Source organism: Homo sapiens, chromosome 2, assembly GCF_000001405.40.
Source record: "Homo sapiens chromosome 2, GRCh38.p14 Primary Assembly".
Taxonomy (NCBI): Eukaryota; Metazoa; Chordata; class Mammalia; order Primates; family Hominidae; genus Homo; species Homo sapiens.
Window position 1 is genome coordinate 130,926,761 of NC_000002.12, and position 21,711 is coordinate 130,948,471.

Genomic DNA, 21,711 nt, shown 5'->3' on the forward strand with positions numbered 1-21,711 from the left:
CAAAGACAGGTTTATTTTGGAAAATAAACCTGAGAGGGACTTCTGGCTGATTTTTTTTTTTTTTTTTTTTTTTTTTTTGGTCAGGAGCACTCTTACAGACTAAGAGTATGTATTGGTGAGAGAGCTTATTACAGGCTTGGAATATTTCTGTTGGGGGGAGAAGTTTATGGTGGGGTTGGAATGTCTCTGGTTGGAGGGGAGGTTATCTTGGGGCTGACATCTCTCTGGCTGAAGGAGAGGTTATCTTGGGGTTGGCATGTCTCTGGTTGGGGAGGGGTTTGGAATGTTTCTGGTCAGAGACGTTATTTGTGGTTTATGGTCATGTTGATCTTAGCCATTAGGTTGATGCCCTTTAGATTTAGGCAGTTTTTGATCAAGGTGGACTTTAGAATGGCAGTGGGTGCTTGTCCAAGATGGTGATACTCCTGCTCTGTCAGTGGGATCAGGAGGCCTTGTGAATGCTAGCTGGTGGTGAAGGTGCTGGCTCTCTAGCAGGCCTTCTCCTGCATTACCCCAGCAGGTCAGGGGAGGAATGCCTCACTGACACCAGGAAGAGGATGGAAGACTGGCCTCACACATTGTCTTCACAGACAGCATGGTGGAGGGCCTCACTAACACTGGCAGGGGAAGAAAGTTCAAGCTTTCCCATCAGCCTTCTCTCACACCACTTGGCTCGGGGACATATGTGACCCATGACAGGTGAGGTTGGGAGTTCTTCACTCAGGCTTTGCTGGGGTGTGAGGGAGACAGGGGTGTGTTGCATGGTTTTTACCTAATGTTTGGCTTGAGTAGAGCATTTGTCTAAAAGTTTTCTGTCTTGCTAGGCTGGTCCTTTAGCTAGAGAATGCAGATTTCTGTTGGAGCTTTTCTGTCTGGACCTAGTGACAGCTCCAGCAAGACTGTTCAGCATCCATATAGGAAGCATGTATGAGTGGTATATATGCGGCAAAAGAAAACCTAGGGAACTACCTGGTGTTGTTCCTTGTATTTTATGATCCCTAGCTGGTCTACTTTCTTCTCGCCACCATTCAGATGTCTTTGTTTTCGTATCTTTGTTTTATACATAATGTCTTAGGTTTTTAGCGGTGCTTAGTGAAACAAACAGGAAGTGTGTCTATGCCATCTTGTCCAGAATTGGAAGTTTCCTGTTTTGTTTTTTCATAGCATACTGTTCTTGTTTAATGATTTCAGTGTCTTCCTTTTTCTTCTTCAGGTTATTAATTTTAGTTATTTTGAAGTTTTCTTCTATCCTTTACATTTTCTCTTTCCTAGTTTTTTTCCCTATTTGTTTATTTTGGTCATTTTAGTGTGTTGAAGGTTTTTCCTAAATGCCTAGCAATCTTTGGGTGAATTTCATATTTATTTCAGAGTAAGACACCAAATATCTGTTTAGATATTATGTGGGCATTTGTGGAGCTAATTGGCTAGTGTGCTTTCCTATCAAGTGACTTTAAAAGAGAAGTTGCTTATTTTATAAGTCAATGTTTAGAGGTCTCTTCTCTGAGGTGGGTCAGTTTCTCCAGAGCGGTATCCTCCAGTCATTTATTGAGAAGATACAGGATTATACCGGGAAAGAATGAAGCAGGGTGCTGAGTCGCTCCCTGTTCACCATGCAGGTTTTCTTGTTATGCTGTTTTCATCCCAAACCTCTCCACTGCTTTCACCAGTTAAGTCCGTGGTCCCCACAAGCTGGAGATTCTTGTTCAATTATTCAGGACCACAAGTCTCTCGTGTTTGATCTTGGCTGGCAGTTTGAGGGAAGGAGAAATGGAAAGGGGAGTATACACAGTCACGTGGCTGACTGTGCTGGGACCTTAACTGAGGGTCACACTTACAAACTTTAAACCAGAACCTCTGCCTGCTTCCTTCCCTGTGAACTCCAAGTCATCTGCATTTCTTTAGATAGCTTCCTGTGCTCTGCAGCACCATCTACCCCTCCTACATCTACTTTACCCTTTCCAGATTTTCTTGAACTTTCTCATCTACCATCGTCTCATCATTTCTTAATGCTGCTCTTTTGGGAATACAACGAAGGACAAAAGTTCCTTTAGTCAAACTCAGATTATCCCACCCCAAAGTCTGCTTTCTGGCCCCCTCCCCTGGACACATGAGGACCACCAGGACAGCCTGAGCTACCTTGCCTCTCTCTATTCTATCTGTCTGTCTAGTACAGTAATTCTCAGACTAGCTTTGCCTCAGAATTCCCTGGAGGGCATTTTAGACACAAATTGCCAACCATTCCCTCAGGGCTCAGAAATCCATTTTTCACCCATTCCCAGGAGTATGGTCTATCTGTTGCTGCATAGCCCAGAGGATCCAGCTGGGTGCCTCTGGGCAAGGACTTGCTCTGAGGCAAGTCGCTTAAGTTCTCTGAGTTTCTAAGGGAGAAGAAACCAGCTGTTTCTGATCCACAAGGTACTTGGGGAGAAATAACTAGCTGAAAATAGTTTTTAAATGTAGAGCAATATTTGGGAGCTCAAATAAACACATTAGATCAGTGGTTTGCAACCTTGGACATACCTGGAGAGCTAGAAAAAGTCTTACTTCCCAGGCTGTACCCCAAAACCATTATGTAATAATTATCCAGCCATCCAGTTTCTCTTCCTCCATCTCTCTCTCTTTCACTGTAAACATATGCATATGTATACATTTTTAATTTTAGAATACCTCAGATTAAGCAGAGAATCTATAATTAAATCCTAATCTTGTAGAAAATTCTTATGCAAAATACTGTAATCTCCCAAGTACATCTAATCACTTCCAGAATAAGGACCCCCTACAATTTCTACCATAAAAATAAACTCTATCGAGGAGCTTTATTTAAAATAAGAACTTCATTTTCCATGTACTTACCTACAAAATAAGCATCATATTCTGTTCAGCAAGAGATATTTAAGAGGCAAAACCCAAGATCCAATATTAAGTAAGCATACCCACTTTTCTCCAACTGATATATCAGTAAGAAATTATAGCAAAAACAGTCTCCTGTACAACTGGAGTAGAGTGTTGGGTAGAACAGTCAGCCGTGTGAGTCTCCAGGGCTGCTCTTGCCAACCCTTTTTTCTAGGAGCAATGTATCAGCAAAATCTTGCCTCATCAGACCCAGCCTCCTTAGTCCTCCAGTATAGATACTTTTTCATTTTTTTTTTTGAGACCGAGTCTCGCTTTGTTGCCCAGGATGGAGTGCTGTGGCGCAATCTCGGCTCACTGCAAGCTCTGCCTCCCGGGGTTCCCGCCATTCTCCTGCCTCAGCCTCCCGAGTAGCTGGGACTACAGGGCCCACCACCACACCTGGCTAAGTTTTTTGTATTTTTAGTAGAGACGAGGTTTCACTGTGTTAGCCAGGATAGTTTCAATCTCCTGACCTCGTGATCTGCCCGCCTCGGCCTCCCAACAGCATAGATACATTTTTAAGGCAGACTTGAAATACTTAAAAGAAATTTCACCTTAGTTTTTAGCAAACAGTACACACAGAGTGCTTGGGGATGCCATTCCACAGAGGTTGCTGCTACAAAGTAGGTGTTCATGGGGTGGGCATAGGGGATCGTTAGACTTGGACAACATGTGTGAAGAAAAGGGTTTCTTCTCCCAGTGGCAAATTCCAAACAACAGAGATGCTGGTGATGCCAACACAGGCCTAACTATTCTGCTAGTGGGGGCATATTTTATTTTGAAATCCTTAAGGTGCCTGGTGCGTAACGGCAACCAGGGATGGTGGTGGCAATGTGGGTGAGGTGGAGTCTTGCCTGCATTTCAGTGAGCATCAGAGTCAAGCTAGAAGAGGTACTGGGCTCTGGAAGAGTGCTTCTGCTTCAGTTTTGTTCATAAGGGAATGTTGTTTAAACGGGAACTTTTACCCCAGTTGCTGGCCTTTAAAAAGTATTTCTAATGAGCATGCCAAGTTCAGTAATTACTTTCAAGGCCTAATTCTTTGATCAAAATAGAAGGCTAGATTTTTTAAAAAATACTCTTGAAAGTAGACATTTTAACAGAGACAAGATTTGTTTTGTTCCTAATCTTCACATTTTCCAAAATGACTGTGAACAAAGTATTTCACTGGACTCTGTACTTTGAAAATTAACCAAAACATAGTGTTATACCCAAAAGGAACTAGGCAGAGGAAGGACAGCGTGTTCCCAGTTGATATGTCCTTTGACCTCTGACCCCTGACCCGTTCTCTCTGCTCTCCAGAACCACATGCCCTGGGAAGAACCAGCAGGTGAGAAGCCCAGTTGCTCTCACAGTCAGAAGGCGTTCCACATGGAGCCTGCCCAGAAGCCCTGCTTCACCACTGACATGGTGACATGGGCCCTCCTCTGCATCTCTGCAGAGACTGTGCGTGGGGAGGCTCCTTCACAGCCTAGGGGCATCCCTCACCGCTCGCCCGTCAGTGTGGATGACCTGTGGCTGGAGAAGACACAGAGAAAGAAGTTGCAGAAGCAGGCCCACGTCGAAAGGAGGCTGCACATAGGGGCAGTGCACAAAGATGGAGTCAAGGTAAGCCACTCCCGGCCAGGAGTCCTCAGACTTGGTCTGGTATCCCCTTCTCTCTGCAGCTGCCTGTTGCTTCCTGAGCTTTTGCCTGACTCTCCTGAGATGTAACTTGTCACCCTGGGCCCCCTTGGATTACAGCATGCTGCCTGGGCCACACTCAGTACTGCAGTCGAGGGCCTGCAAGAGAGACACTTTGAGCAGTGCATTCCCCAGAGCCACAGAAGCCAGGGCCCCCTCTTCCTTCTCTGTAGTATGTCTCTGCCTGTGGCCAGCTCCATGCAAGGTAGTAGTGCAGAGAAGACTGCCATTTAATGAGTGCCTGCTGTGTGCCCGACATGATTAGACACTGCCCTAGCATTGGCTCTGCCACTCACAGAGGCACAGAACATTTCAATAAGACAATCTTAACCAAATTAACTAAAGTCATTATGTTGTCCATTCAATTTTGTCTCTAGGACACTTTGACAACATGATTTTTTGCATGAAACCGACAGCCTACTAAAAAGTAAATTAATGGTGTAGACATCATGCCATTTACCCAATCTCTGACAAGAGTTTCTTGTTTTTTCCCTTTATAAATAGCAATATTTAATATCAAGTGTTTGTGAAGTACACATCTCTGAGTCTCACCTCATCCTTGAAGACTCACTTTTTAAAACTGAGGTGAAATTCACATAATGTAGAATTAACCATGTTAAAGTGAAGAATTCATTGGCATTTAGTATATTCATTCACTATATTTTGCGACCACCACCTCTGTCCAGCTCCAAGGCATTTTCATCACCCCTAAAGGAAACCCTATTCCCCATTTCCCCTCCCCAGACCCTGGAAATACTCATCTGCTTCCTGTCTCTATGGGTCTTCCTATTCTGGATTTTTCATATAAATGTAATTACATGATACGTGACCTTTTGTGACTGGCGTTTTTCACTTAGCGTCGTGTTTTATCCATGTCATAGCACATATCAATACTTCATTTCTTTGTATGGCTAAGTAACATTTCGTTATGTGATTATACAGTACTTGTCTCACTTTGTTCATCCATACATCCATTCCTGAGTAGCTCTTCATCCATTTCTGAGTAGCTGGGATTACAGGTGCCTGCCACCATGCCCACCTAATTTTTGTATTTTTAGTAAAGATGGAGTTTCACCATGTTGGCCAGGCTGGTCTCGAACTCCTGGCCTCAAGTGATCCACTGGCCTTGGCCTCCCAAAGTGCTGGGATTACAGGCATGAGCCACCGCGCCTGGCCTGGAATCCTTTACATATTCTGAATGTAAGACCATTATAAGATATGTCATTTGCAAATATTTTCTCCCATCTGTAGAGTGCCTTTCACTTTTTTGATAGTACCCATTGATGCATAAGTACTTAATTTTGATGAAATCTACTTTATCTATTTTTTTTTGTTGCTTGTGCATTTGATGTCATACCTAAGAATCTATTGCCAAATCCAAGTAATGAAATTTACCTCTGTTTTTTTCTAAGAGTTTTATACCTTTCGCTTTTAAATTTAGGTCTTTGATCCATTTTGATTTAATTTTTGTATGGTATGAGATAGAGGTCCAATTTTAATATTTTCCATGCGGATATGTAGTTACCCAAACACCATGTGTTGAAGAGACTATTCTGTCCCTTACTGAATGGTCTTGGCATCCTTGTCAAAAACCAACTTACCCGCCAGGCGCAATGGCTCACATCTGTAATCCCAGCACTTGGGGAAGCCGAGGCGGTGGATCACTTAAGGCCAGAAGTTCGACGTCAGCCTGGACAACATGGTGAAACCCTGTTTCTACTAAAAATACAAAAATTAGCCAGTGTGGTAGCACGCACCTGTACTCCCAGCTACTCGGGAGGTTGAGGTGGGAGAATCACTTGAACCTGGGAGGCAGAGGTCACAGTGAGCCAAGACTGCACCACTGCACTCCAGCCTGGGTGACAGAGTGAGACCCTGTCTCAAAAAAAAAAAAAAAAGTCAAATTACCTTAGATGTGTGGGTGTATTTTTGACTCTCAATTCTATCCTATTAACTTATATGTCTGTCTTTATGTCAGTACCACATTGTTTTGATTATCATAGTTTTATAATAAGTTTTGAAATTGGAATGTGAGAGTCTTCTTTGTTCTTTTTCAAAATTGTTTTGGCTTTTTGTTGGACCTTGCAATTTCATATGAATCTTATAATTTCCAATTCTGCAAAAAAATAAAGGCCCTTGGGATTTCCATAGGATTGCATTCGATCTGTAGATCACTTGGGAGAGTAGTGCCATATTAATAATATTAAGTCTTCAAATCCATGAACACTGGGTGTCTTTCCGTTTTTGGGAGGTGTTCTTGAATTGCTTTCAGCAGTGTTTTGTAGTTTTCACTGTAAAAAGTCTTGCACATCCTTGGTTAAAATGTTTCCTAAGTATTTTGTTCTTTTTGATGACATCATAAATGGAAATTTTTAAAAGCTTCATTTTGGGATTATCCATTGCTAGAGCATAAAAATACAATTGATTTTTGTTTATTGATCCTATATCCTGAAACGTTGCTGAATTCATTTATTAGCTATAATAATATTTTTGTGGATTCTTTGGAAATTTCTATGTATAAGATTACATCATTTATAAAAATAGATTACTTTACTTCTTCCATTCCAGTTTAGATGCCTTTGATTTCTCTTTTATCCCTTACTTGCTCTGGGTAGAACTTACATAACAATGTTGAGCAGAAGTGGTGAAATGGGGTGTCGTTGTCTTCTTGGTTTTAGGATTAAAGCTTTCAGTCTTTCACTATTGTGTATGATGTTAGCTGTGTGTTTTTCACAAATGCCGTTTTATCATGTTAAGGAAGTTCGTTTCTATTTCTAGTGTTTTTATCATGAAAGGGTGCTGGATTTTTTAAGTGCATGATCAATTTTGATGACGGTTTTTCTGCATCAACTGAGATAATCATGCATGTTTTCTTTGACCTATTAATGTGGTATATTACATTGAATATGTATTCATCTGCAGTTTTCTTTTCTTGTGATGTTTTTCTCTGGCTTTGGTATCAGAGTGATTCTGGTCTTATAGAATGAGTTAGGAAGTGCTCTCTCCTCTTCTATTTTTTGAAAGCATTTGAGAAAGATTCTTCTTTAAATATCTTGTATAGTTCACCAGTGAAGCTTTCTGGTCCTGGGCTTTTCTTTGTTGTGGGGTTTCTGATTACTGATTCAATTCTTTTTTCTTTTCTTTTAGTGTCAGGTTGGTGAAAAAACAATTCTTTACTTGTCATAGACCTGTTAAGAGTTTATATTTCTTCTTGTTTTGTTTTGTTTTGAGATGGAGTCTCACTCTGTTACCCAGGCTAGAGTGCAGCAGCATGATCTTGACTCACTGCAACCTCCACCTCCTGGGTTCAGGTGATTCTCCTGCTTCAGCCTCCTGAGTACCTGGGACTCCAGGCATGCACTGCCATGCATGGTTAATTTTTGTATTTTTTGATAGAGACAGGGTTTCACCATGTTGGCCAGGCTGGTCTCGAACTCTTGACTTCAAGTGATCTGCCCGCCTCAGCCTCCCAAAGTGCTGGGATAACAGGCATGAGCCACTGTACCCGGCCAAAGTTTGTATTTCTTATTGAGTCATTTGGCTTGTGTTTTTCTTAAGAATTTCTCCATTTTATCTACATTATCTAATCTGTTGATATACAATTGTCCATAGTGTTTTCTTATAATCCTTTTAAATTTCTGTAACATCAGTAGTAATGCCTCCACTCTCATTTCTAATTTTAGTAATTTGTATTTTCTCTCTTTTTTTCCTCAGTGTAGCTAAATGCTTATCAATTTTATTAGTCTTTTCATAGAATCTGTTTTTGGTTGTCTTGATTTTCTCTATTATTTTTCTTATTTTTATCCCATTTTTAATTTTTTATCTATTTATTCATTTATTTATTTATTTAGAGACTGAGTTATGGGACTGGTATTTGGTATTTTTGGTAGAAACAGGGTTTCACCATGTTGCCCAGGCTGGTCTCCAACTCCTGGGCTCAAGTGGTTTGCCCACCTCAGCCTCCCAAAGTGCTGGGATTACAGGCATGAGCCACTGCACCTGGCCTCTATTGTTTTTCTATTACTATATTTAATGTGTCTCTACTTTCATCTTTATTATTTTCTTCCATCTATTAGCTTTGGGGTTAGTTTGTGCTTCTTTTTCTTGTTAAATTAGACTAAAAATGTAAAATTGGACTATTGATTTGAGAAATTCTTTTTTAATTTAGGCTTTTACAACTAGAAAGTTCCCTCTCAGCATAGCGTTCACTGCATCCATAAGCATTGATAGGTTGTGTTTTTGTTTTCATTCATCTCACAGTATTTTCTAATTTTGTGATTTCTTCTTTTCTTTCTTGTGAAATCTTATGATTTCTTCTTTGACTCACTGGCTGTTTAATATTGTATTAATTTCCATATATTTGTGAATTTTCCATTCTCCTATTGACATCTAGTGTCATTACATTGCAATCAGAAAAGATACTTCATATGAATTCAGTCTTTTAAAATTTACTGGCCAGGCATGGTGGCCATGCACGTAATCCCAGCACTTTGGGAGGCTAAGGCAGGTAGATCACTTGAGGTCAGGAGTTCGAGACCAGCCTGACCAACCTGGTGAAACCCAGTCTCTACTAAAATACAAAATCAGCTGGGCGTGGTGGTGCATGCCTATAATCCCAGCTACTGGGGAGGCTAAGGCAGGAGAATTGCTTGAAACCGGGAGGCAGAGGTTGCAGTGAGCCAAGATCATGCCATTGCATTCCAGCCTGGGCAACGAGAGTGAAACTCCACCTCAAAAAAAAAAATCTACTGAAACTTGTTTTCTGTAAAAGACTTATGGTCTTTTCTGGAGAATGTTCCATGTGTACTGGAGAAGAATGTGTATTCTGTTGTTGTTTGGTTTAGTGTTCTGTATATGTCTGTTAGTTTTAATTGGTTTATAGTATTATTCAAGACCTCTATTTCCTCACTGACCTTATGTCCGTTTATTATTGGAAGGGTGTTGAAGTCTCCAACTATTATTGCAGAACTATTTCTCACATGATTTCTGTCGATTTTTGTTGCTCAGTTTGTAGGTACGTATGTTTGTAATTGTTATATCTTCTTGATGAACTGACTTTTTAATCAATCTATAATGTATTTCTTTGTCTTTATAGCAGTTTTCAACTTAAAATCTATTTTGTCTGGTGCTGGTCTAGACATTCCAGCTCTCTTTTGGTTATTAGTTGCATGGGATAATTTTTCCATTCATTTTTGAAGTACAGTTTTCCCAGATATATAACTTCTGCTGAACCTTTTTTTTCTTTCCCTCTTTTTATATGTGTCATCCCACTGCCTCTGGCCTCCTTGGTTTCTGAGGAGAAATCAGCTGTTAATCTTATTCAGAATCCCTTGTACATGGTGAATTACTTCTCTATTGCTGATTTCAAGATTCACTTTTTGTCTTTGGCTTTCAGCTATTTTGTTCCAATGTGTCTCAGTGTAAGTCTTTATGTTTATCCATCATTGAGTTCACTGAGCTTCTTGGATGTGTAGATTCATGTACTTTACCAAATTTAGGAATTTTCCACAATTATTTCTTCAGAAGTCTTTCTGATCATTTTCTCTCTTTCTTTCTTTTTTTTTTCTTTTTTCTTTTTTTTTTTTTTTTTTTGAGATGGAGTTTCACTCTTGTTGCCCAGGCTGGAGCACGATGGTGCAATCTTGGCTCACCGCAACCACCACCTCCTAAGTTCAAGCAATTCTCCTGCCTCAGCCTCCCAAGTAGCTGGGATTACAGGCATGCACCACCAGGCCTGGCTAATTTTTTTTCTATTTTTAGTAGAGATGGGGTTTCTCCATGTTGGTCAGGCTGGTCTTGAACTTCTGACCTCAGGTGATCTTCCCCCCTCGGCCTCCCAAAGTGCTGGGATTACAGGTGTGAGCCACTGTGTCTGGGCTTTCTCTCTTTCTTTTGAGATTCCATTATAGGTATGTTGGTGTGCTTGATGGTGCCCTAGGTTCTGTTAATTTTCTTCATGCTTCTCAGGTTCTGTTAATTTTCTCCATGCTGCTTTCCTTCATATTGGAAAATCTCAATTGGCCATCTTCAAATCCACTGATTCTTTTTTCTGCCTACTCAGACATGTTACATTGAATTTTAATTATTGTACTTTTCAACTCCAGAACTTTTACCTGTTTTTTTAATACTTTCTCTTTATTGGTATTCCATTTGATGAGACATCATTCTTTTGGTTCCTTTAGTGGTTTTTGTTTCACTTAGCTCTTTAAGCATATTTAAAACAGTTGATTAGAGTCTTTGTCTAGTAAGAAGACCCTGTGCTTTCTCAGGGATGGTTCTTGTTCATTTCTTTTCTTTCCCTGAGTGGGCCATACTTTCTTGTGTCTTTGTATCATAATTTTTTTTTTTTTTTTGAGACAGAATGTCGCTCTGTCACCCAGACGGGAGTGCAGTGGTGCGATCTCGGCTCACTGCAAGCTCTGCCTCCCGGGTTCACACCATTCTCCTGCCTCAGCCTCACAAGTTGCTGGGACTACAGGCACTCGCCACCATGCCCGGCTAATTTTTTGTATTTTTAGTAGAGATGGGGTTTCACCGTGTTAGCCAGGATGGTCTCGATCTCCTGACCTCGTGATCTGGCCGCCTCGGCCTCCCAAAGTGCTGGGATTACAGGCATAAGCCACTGCACCCGGCCTTTGTATCATAATTTTTTGTTGAAAACTGGGCATCTTGAATATTATAATGTGGCAACAAAGTGGCTGCATGTATGTTGCTGACAGTATTCCGTGGCCTGGACCTACAACAACTTGTTTAATCATTCACCTATTCGAAGACATCTAGATTGTTTCCAGGTTTGGGCTATTATAAATAATATGTTTAATAACATATGTTTTCATTTCTCTAGGGTAAATGCCCAAGAGTACAATTGTTGGGTCATATGATAGTTGTCTGTTTAGTTTGATAAGAATCTTCCACATTATTTTCGAGAGGGCTGTACCATTTTACATTCCCACCAGTAATGTTTGCATGATCCAGCTTCTCAGCATTCTTATCAGCATTTGTTTTTTTGCTACTTTTAAATTTTTACCATAATAGTAATAGTGGTGTAGTGATAACTCATTTTGGAAATGGTTGGGTTCTAAGGCGCCATAATGTAGAAAATATTTTCGTGTGCATATTTGCCATTGGTACAACAGTTTAGGTGAAATGTCTTTTCTGTTCTTTTATCCACTTTCTAACTGGATAGCCTTTTCATTCTCTCCCCTCAAACAATTGAGAGGTAAGGCAAGGCATTTTTTTAATGTTGGTCTTTGAGAGACAGAGTGTATATGTGTCTGTGTATTATATATATTCATATTCCAGATATTAGTCCTTTGTTGAATTTGTGGTTTACAAACATTATCACCTAGTCTGTAGCTTGTTTTTTCATCTTCTTACCAGGGTCTTCACAGAACAAATTTTTAAATGTTGTTGAAGTCTACTTAATCAATTTTTTTCGTTTATGGATGTGCTTTTGGCATCATGTCTAAAAACTCTTCAGTGACCCCTAAGTCTCAAAGATTTTCTTCTGTTTTTTCTAAAGTTTCATCATTGTACTTTTCACATTTAAGTTTGTGATTGATTTCCAGTTAATTTTTTGACTTTCATTTTAGGTTCAGGGGTACATGGGCAGGTTTGTTATATAGGTAAATTGCGTGTTGCAAGGGTTTGGTGTACAGATTTTGTCACCAAGGTAATAAGTATAGTACTGGATGGGTAGTTTTTCAGTCCTCACCCTCCTCCTGCCCTCCACCCTCAAGTAGGCCTCAGAATCTGTTGTTGTCTTCTTTGTGTCCATATGTACTCAATGTTTAGCTCCCACTTATGAGTGAGAACATGTGGTATTTGGTTGTCTGTTCCTGTGTCAGTTTCCCTAGGATAATGGCCTCCAGTTGCAACCATGTTGCTGCAAAAGGAAATGATCTCATTCTTTCTTATGGCTGCATAAGTTGTGGGATTTAGGTGAAGTTTCTTTTCTTCTTTTCTTTTTTTCTTTTTTTGCCTGTGGATACTGTTGGACCACTTGTTGAAAAGAGTTATTATTCCTCACTGAATCACTTTTGCACCTTTGCCAGAAATCAGTTGGATATACTTATGCCTGTTTCTAGGCTCTCTGTTTGGTACTGTCGATCCATGTGTCTATGCTTCCACCAGTGCCACACTGTCTTGATCTTCAAAGCTATGTACTGAGCCTTCATGTTGATTAGATGGAGTCCTTCCACTATATTTCTTTTTTTTCAACATTGTTTTACACGTTCCATGGCTAGTTCCTTCCAATAATAAATATGAAAATAAGTTTGTCTTGTCTACAAATGCTTTGCTGAGAATCTGATGAGACTGCAGAAAACCTATAAATTAATTTATGGGAAACAGTCATCTTCATTATGTTTTGTCTCCCAACACAAGAATACAGGTATATCTTTTCATTTATTTAGGTTTTCTTTAACTTCTTTTGTCAGAATTTTGTAATTTTCTGCATACAGATCCTCTGCATTTTTAAAATGTATACTTTTGTATTTAATTTTCCTAGGAACTATTACAAATATTGTGTTTTAAATTTCATTTTCCACAAGTTGATTTTTAGTATATGGAAATGCGATTGATTTTTATGTGTTGATATTGTATCCTGTGACTCTGCTGAATTCATTTGTTAGTTCAAATGTAGTTGTTTTTTATAGATTACTGGAAACTATCTATGTAAGCAACCATATCACCTTAAAATGGGGGGCAGGGGGTATTTCTTCCTTTCTAGTGTGTATTCTTTTTATTTCTTTTCTTCCAGCCTCTGCCTACTGCCCAATTCCAAAGTCACTTCCAAATTTGTAGGTGTTTGTTATAGCTGTATCCCACTTCCAGGTACTAAGATTTGTATAGTAATTATACAACAATACAGGTGCTACAGTGATATCAACAAAATACTGTTAACAGAGAGGAGGAGGTGGGTAATTCTGTGTAGATGGAACATAAGGAAATATTTTGCATAAAAGGAGACACTTTCCTAAGAATGGATAAAGTTTCAGCAGGGAAGCGTAGTTCAAATAGAGGGGATAGCAACATCACTGCAACCTCTGCCTCCCAGGTTCGCGACATTCTCCTGCCTCAGCCTCCCGAATAGCTGGGACTACAGGTGCCTGCCACCATGCCCGACTAATTTTTTGTATTTTTAGTAGAGACGGGATTTCACCATGTTAGCCAGGATGGTCTCGATCTCCTGACCTCGGATGGTAGTATGAAAATTCATGGAGTAGGCCGGGCGCGGTGGCTCACGCTTGTAATCCCAGCACTTTGGGAGGCCGAGGCGGGTGGATCACGAGGTCAGGAGATCGAGACCACGGTGAAACCCCGTCTCTACTAAAAATAAAAAAAAAAATTAGCCGGGCGTGGTGGCGGGCGCCTGTAGTCCCAGCTACTCGGAGAGGCTGAGGCAGGAGAATGGCATGAACCCGGGAGGCAGAGCTTGCAGTGAGCCGAGACTGCGCCACTGCACTCTAGCCTGGGTGACAGAGCGAGACTCCGTCTCAAAAAAAAAAAAAAAAAGAAAAAAAAAAAGAAAATTCATGGAGTATCAGGGAAGTAGTGAGCAGGTGCCTGGTGGTAGAGAGATGGATGGCAAGAGTTGTTACAGTAGTCAGAAAACAGTATTCGAGGAACTCTGGGTTCCATGCCAATAGATCTTTACTTTATTCTATAAGCAGGAGGCAGCCTTTTATGATTTTTAACATAAAAATGGCATGATAAATTTGCTGTAGAACAAGAAGGGAAGACTTAGAGAATGTTTAAGTAACCCATATGAGAAATGACCTGAGAAAACGTTTTGTCAAACGGATATTCAGTTGGCCCTTAAACCATGCAGGGGTTAGGGGTACCAACCACCCACACAGCCGAAAATCCATTTATAATTTTTTTTTTTTTTGAGATGGAGTCTTGCTCTGTTCCCCAGGCTGGAGTGCAGTGGCGTGATCTCAGCCCACTTCAACCTCCACCTCCTGGGTTCAAGCAATTCTGCCTCAGCCTCCCGAGTAGCTAGGATTACGGGTGCATGCCACCACGCCTGGCTAATTTTTGTATTTTTAGTAGAGACAGGATTTTACCATGTTCGCCAGGCTGGTCTCAAACTCCTGAGCTCAGGTGATCTGCCTGCCTCGGCCTCCAAAAGTTCTAGGATTACAGGTGTGAGCCACCATACTCAGCTCCATGTATAATTTTTGTCTCCTGAAAAATTTAACTATTAATAGCCTACTGTTGACCAGAAGCCTTGTTGATAATATAAACAGTCTAACACTTATTTTGTATGTTGTAAGATATTATAAGTAGTATATATAGTATTGTTGCAATAAAGTAAGCCAGAGAAAGAGAAAATGTTAAGAAAATCAGAGGGAAGAGAAAATATATTTACTATTTACTCACTGGAAGCGGGTTGTCATAAAGGTCTTCATCCTCATCATCTTCACATTCCATAGGCTAAGGAGGAGGAAGGAGAGGAGCAGTTGGTCTTGTCTCAGAAGTGGCAGAAGTGGAAGAAAATCCATGTATAAGTAAACCCGTGCAGTTCAAACCCATGTTGTTCAAGAGTCAACTGTAGTCACAAGCTTAAGTGACTATTTAAAAAAATAAAATGTAATGTGGCCTGCATGAATATGTGTACAGGGTCCAGTTTCCCTTTAAGCAGGATTAAAGTAGATTTTGAGAGGATTCCAAGCCTAAGATTCTTTGATTGTAAAAGGTTTGGAGGCCTAGAGATAATTCCTGATAATTTAATAGAAAATAGAGATTATATACTAGTTGAGTATATTTGACTAGTTGAGTCAAATATGGTTTGGTAGTTTTTTTTTTCTTTTTTCTTTTTTTTTTTTTTTGAGACGGAGTCTTGCTTTGTCACTCAGGCTGGAGTGCAGTGGTGTGATACCAGCTCATTGCAACCTCCTCCTCCCGGGTTCATGCCATTCTCCTGCCTCAGCCTCCTGAGTAGCTGGGACTACAGGAACCCGCCACCACGCCCGGCTAATTTTTTGTATTTTTAGTAGAGACAGGGTTTCACCGTGTTAGCCAGGATGGTCTCGATCTCCTGACCTCGTGATCCACCCACCTCAGCCTCCCAAAGTGCTGGGATTACAGGCATGAGCCACCACGCCTGGCTGGTTTGGTAGTTTCTACTAGTTTCAACTACTCAGATATACATAAATCATATTTTTGTGTAAACACAAAAAGATCAACTGCAGGTATAATTCTGAAAAAAGTATGAAAAGAAGCAAGTAATAATATGGTGTAACATACAAGGGTTAGAACAGCAGGAATAATAACGCATACGTTGAGTGAATCAGAGCACTAGATCACTGTTTTCAAAGCAGTCACTGGAACTATGGTGCAGTTTTTATTTTGGAAGTGTGTTAATTTCTAAATAGATTAGGATTTCGTTTTTAAGAAAAATAATAGAATTACCTTTCTATTACTGATTTATAGTTTAATTCCATTGTGATAGAGAAACATACTTTGTATGATTTCATACTTTCAAACTTTTTTAAAATTTCATTATTATGATTATCACCAAGGATATAGCCTCTCTTGGTGAATGTTCCATGTGCACTTGAAAATAATGGGTATTCTGCTATTGTTGGATGGCTATTCTACAAATGTCAATTAGTTCCAGTTGGTTGATGGTGTTGCTCACTTTGTCTATTACCTTGTTTTTGTTTATTACCTTGTTTTTGTCTATTTCTTCTATTGATTACTGTGATAAAAGTGCTGAAGTTTCCAATCAGAAATGAATCATTGCAAATTTTCCATTTTTCCTTTAAATTTTTGCTTCATATATTTTGAATGTCTGTGGTTAGATGCATGGACATCTAGGATTATATGTCTTTTTGGTGAATTCACTCTTATGATGTTATGTTCTTCTGTGTCCTTGGTAATTTTCCTTGCTCTGAAATTGGTTTTGTCTGATATTAATATAGCCATTCACATTTTCTTTTTGATTAGTACTTGTGTGGCATCGTTTTTCACCCTTTTACTTTCTACCTGCCTTTATCATTATTTTGAAAGTAGGTTTCTTGTAGATAACATATTGTTAGATGTTCTTTCCTTAATTATTTTAATATTTGTTTTTCTGATTATGTGCTTTGAGTATTCAAACTTAATGTATTTATTGATGGTTTGGATTTAGGTTTACCATGTTATCATTCATTTTCTGTTCTCTGATTTGCATTGCTCTGTTTCCTTTTGGATTATTTGGGTATTTTTTAGTTCTCCATTTTAACTTAGTTATTGAGCTTTTAAATATATTTCTTTGTATAGGTTTTTTTAGTAACTCTAGGAATTAACATACATTCTTAACATTTCCGTCTAGTTAGAATTAGTATTTTCCCACTTCGAGTGGAAGGAATGTAGACATCTTCCATCCCATAGGTTCCTTTAACCTCCTCCTTTATGTTGTTGTTGTCATGTATATTAAATCTGCATACATTGAAAACTGCATTAGATAATATTATAATTTTGTGTTTAACTGTCAAATATTTTTTAAAACTTAAGAGGAGAAAAATGGTGTGTTATATTTACCCAGCTATTTATTATTTCTGTTGCTCTTCCTTCATTTCTGAAGTTCAAAGTTTCCCTCTGGTATCATTTTCCTTTTGTATAAAGATCTTCCTTTAACATTGCTTTAGAATAGGTATACTGGCTATGACTTCTCTTAGTTTTTCTCCATGTGATAATGTTCTTATTTTACCTTCATTCCTGAACATACTTTTGCTGGATATAGATTTTTGGGTTGACAGTGATTTAGCACTTTACAAATATTATTCCACTTCTTTCTGGCCTCCATGAAAAATCTGCAGTCATGCAAATGAATGTTCCCCTCTGTGTGATCTGTTGTGGTTTCTGGCTGCTTTAAGATTTTTTTCATTGTCTCTAATTTTCAGCAGTTTATGATGTCTCTAGGCATTGATTTCCTTGGATTTTTCAGCTTGCAGTTTGCTGGGCTCTTGTGTCTGTAAGTTAATGTTTTGAATCATATTTGGGATGTTTTCAGAAATTATTCTTGATATTGTTCTGCACTGCACTCCCTTCTCCTTCTGGAACTCTGATTGACAGAGTATTAGACCTTTGTTGTTGTCACACAGGTCCCTAAAGTTCTATTGGGATTTTTTCCCCCCAACCTTTTCTCTCTGTTCTTCAATTGGATAATTTCTGTTGAGCTGTTTACATGCTTACTGATTCTTTCCTTTTTCATCTCATTTTATAATTGTACTCTGCCACTGGATTTTATTTTAGTTATTTTATATTTTTCATTACTAACATCTCCACTTTATTTTTTATCTATTTATCTGCTATTATTTTTCATTTATGTCAAAAGTGTTCACCCTTACTTCTTAGAGCATGGTGATATAAGAGCTGCTTTAAAGTCTTTTTCTGATAATTCCAACAACTGTGTCTTCTTGGTGTTGCCATTGTTGACTATCTTTTCCCTTAAAAGTTATTGAGATCTCATAGTTCTTTGTGTGTCAGGTAATTTTCGATTGTATTCTGGGCATCTTAAATGTTATGTTATGAGACTCTGGGCCTTGTTTAGTTCCTATGGATAATAATGATTATTAAATTTTTTAAGCAGTTGACCCAGTTAAGTTCAGGCTGCAAGCTCTTACTGGCCTTCAGGGGCTGTTTCTTATGTCAGTTTGTCAGTTCAGGTTTTAAGATGTTTGCAGTGCCACTTGGATAATGTGGATCACCCAGTGGCCCCTGTGGGACCTGAAATATGTTCTACCCCATGGTTCAGTTCCCAAAAGACTCTTATATGCTGTTCAGGGTCAGATCCACTCATACAGCTTGGGGGTAAGTGCGGGAACTCATACACAACATTATGGGATCTTCTGCTTGAGACCCCTCCTCTTGGCATTCTCCCAGGCACTTCCTGGTGTCTAGGAGCCCTCCTTTCCTAGTTTTCTTGATGGAAAGCTGGGGCTTTCATTTTCCCTCTGCCATACACTTCCTGCAACTGTGTCTGCCTCTGAAACCAAGTGGCAGGGAGACAGAGATAGAAAAAAGAAACAAGGATTCTCTCCCATGCCCTTGGGACCACAGTTCCTCTGGTCAGAGAGGATTCCTGTCCCTCAGAATTTTAGATGTCTGCACGACCACCACTGCCATTACCATAATGAGGTTGCCTAGGGGAATAGGGTGGGAGAAATCATCACTCAAATACACATCCCTCATTCCCTCATACCCTTAAGGACCCTTTTCCCTCTCTTCAGATCTGAGAGGGCTTCTTTTGGAGTCCTTTATGTCCATGCCCAGTTTCAAGCTGGTATTGAGTTCAGACCAGGGCACACCACAGGAACAACAAAACAAGAAACTCACCACAGGATCAGTGTTACTTCGAATTCTGGTTTCCTTCCCCAGTCTACCTGCTGCTGTTTCCCTCTAGAGTCCTCAAACGGCTGATCTATACACTCTCCCCAAGGTTTTTAGTTGTGTTCAAATGGATGGGGTGAAGTGTGCAACTCCGTCTTTATCATTGTTTGTATATTGATGTTTCTGGAAATCACTAAAAGAATTTTCTAAGCACTGTTTGCTTAATAGTATGAGGAATAAAAAAGCAAAAAGTAAGGGAAGAAGCATTTATTTGAATACATACCACAATTTTTAAGTTAATACAATAACTTCATAAGGTAGAAAAAAATCAAGAGGGGCCAGGTTTATCTCTGGACAATGGGATGATACAGAAAAGGCTTATATCCCTGGTCATCCCAAAGCCACAGCCAACAGTGGTCCTTACTGTCTGAAGGGCAGTGTCTGCTTCATAATTAGGAGATGTCACGGATTTCGTGAGTTGTGTTTTAATGAAGCATTCCAAAAAGACTATGCCTTAGCTAAAACTAATAGTCTTGCTTTCGGGGAGATATCAGGCTGTGTGGCTCACCAGCTTGGGGAGAGTTGGGAGTCTGAAGACCTTCTCCACAGTCCTGACTTCATCCATGGAATGACAGCCTATCCATGTGGCCAGATAGGTTGCCCACTGCAGACTCCAGGTGAAGTTTTTCTTGTGAGTTTTGATGTGAAAGGCATCCCCTGGAGCTGTGCATATTTTGGTTGTGTGCTCTGTTCACAATGAAAAGTCCTCAGCAATTAGAAAGACTGCAGGGTGGCAATGACAGCCTGTCATTTCTTTTCTTCATTTGCCCTCTGTCTCTTTCCTCCTCTTCCAGTGCTGGAGAAAGACGATCATTACCTCTCCAGAGTCTTTGAATCTCCCTAGAAGAAGCCATCCACTCTCCCAGAGTGCTCCAACGGGACTGAACCACATGGGCTGGCCAGAGCACACACCAGGCACTGGTGAGTTACGCGCCTCTCTCTTTTGCTATGTACTCTGGATCCTGGCATGAAGGACAAGAAGCTAGTGCTGTTGGCAGCTGTATCCACTTGCCTGGTAGAAGTAGCTTGAAGGTGAGAGAGATAAACAATTGTCCTCTTCCTTCAGTTAGGGAGGAGTGCCTACTACCCAAAGAAAGGGAATTATTGGCTGGGCACAGTGGCTCATGCCTGTAATCCCAGCACTTTGAGAGGCTGAAGCAGGCGGATCACTTGAGGTCAGGAGCTCAAGACCAGCCTGGGCAACATGGTGAAACCCCATCTCTACTAAAAATACAGGCCGGGTGCGGTGGCTCATGCTATAATCCCAGCACTTTGGGAGGCCAAGGTGGGCGGATCATATGAGGTCGGGAGTTCGAGACCAGCCTGACCAGCATGGAGAAACCCCATCTCTACTAAAAATACAAAATTAGCTGGGCATGGTGGCACATGCCTGTAATCTCAGCTACTCGGGAGGCTGAGGCAGGAGAATTGCTTGAACCTGGGAGTCAGAGGTTGCGGTGAGCCAAGATCACGCCATTGCACTCCAGCCTGGGCAATAAGAGCAAAACTCCGTCTCAAAAAAAAAAAAAATTATCTCCATATGGTGGTGCATGCCTGTAATCTCAGCTACTCAGAGGGATGAGGCAGGAGAATCACTTGAATCTGAGAGGCAGAGGTTGTAGTGAGCTGAGATTGTGCCACTGCATTCCACCCTGGGCGACAGAGTGATACTCCGTCTCAAGAAAAAATAAAAAAAGGAATTCCTAGAGTCCCCCAGCTTGGCTCCATTAGTTAATTTTGAGCAGAACTACTGACTGTCCCTTCGTCTCGTAGTAGGATGTATAACTTCCAGGAGACAGAATCATGTAGGGAGCTGTCTCTAATCAGCTGATGGAACTTGGGTGTTTTCCGTTCTGAGGAATAATGGCCTCTTCCTTGAGTTTTATGGCAGCCTGTATGAGTCCTTTCTCCAAACTATAGCAAATAGCATCACATCACATATCTGTCCATAAAAGGCCTGGCTTTCTGTGTTAGAAGGGAATTGGGCCGCAGGTGAGAGCCAGGATGGGGCCTCTTTATGTAGAACAACCACCTTCCTCACACCCAACCCAGCAGGGCTGGACACGCTAAGTGAGGCTCAAGGCAGATCTGTCTTCTGGTGGAAGGACAGATGTGGGGTCTCAGGTCTTGAGCAGGTGCAGATTGTGTTAGGTGGTGACCTTACAGTCTAAAAGCTCATGGCTGCTGGAGGGAGGGGCCAAATCTGGTGTTGAAGAAAGATGAACAAGGGTAAAGCCCTAAGAGTTAGAAAAACAAAACAGCCACACCTGTCAAATGCGTGCTTTGTCCAGGCTTGGGAGGAGCGAGCTGGCAGTGGAGGCTGTTGGTAGTCAGGTCCTGTCGGTGCCGAAGACCCATAGAAAGCCAGTGTGGTGAGGCAGAGGATGACGGTGCATGATGGTTGGCCCTGAATGCTGGAGTTTGGCATGTGCCTTGCTAAGGAATCAGCTCTGATGCAGACTCTGAGTTGAGCTCTGAATCTGACTCAGCACATTCGAGGTGCTGGTCCTGAGGGAGCTGGCTGCTCAGATTAGCTGGTGGATGTGGTGGTTGTCCATCAGCAGATGGATGTATTTAGGCTGCACTGTGAAGTGGAGTTTTATTCTTTCCCACATAAAGTTGTGATCTTAAACTCACAAGCAAAGTTATGAAAAGGTGTTTGACAAGTGTTGAAGAAACTTTCCCAATTTCTTGCATGAGCCCTTCATTAAGTCATAGAGTTATTTAGAGTCTTGTGGAAGGGACAGTAACCAGGGA

General features: G+C 40.6%; 1 protein-coding gene and 1 non-coding gene across 5 annotated transcripts in view; one reads left to right on the top strand and one right to left on the bottom strand.

The window, feature by feature from the left end:
* The window catches only part of ARHGEF4 (Rho guanine nucleotide exchange factor 4), a 210,340-nt gene that overhangs the window by 89,847 nt on the left and 98,782 nt on the right, over nucleotides 1–21,711 (top strand). For 3 of the 4 annotated variants that reach the window (NM_001367493.1, NM_015320.4, NM_001375900.1), the window contains 2 exons: nucleotides 4,192–4,497; nucleotides 19,749–19,875. In NM_001367493.1, coding sequence (NP_001354422.1) covers nucleotides 4,192–4,497; nucleotides 19,749–19,875 — 433 coding nt within the window. The remainder of the gene's footprint in view (nucleotides 1–4,191; nucleotides 4,498–19,748; nucleotides 19,876–21,711) is intronic. The other variant, NM_001375901.1, reaches the window with a different exon arrangement.
* On the bottom strand, nucleotides 3,002–3,124 carry LOC124900527 (small Cajal body-specific RNA 4). The gene has a single exon (XR_007088720.1).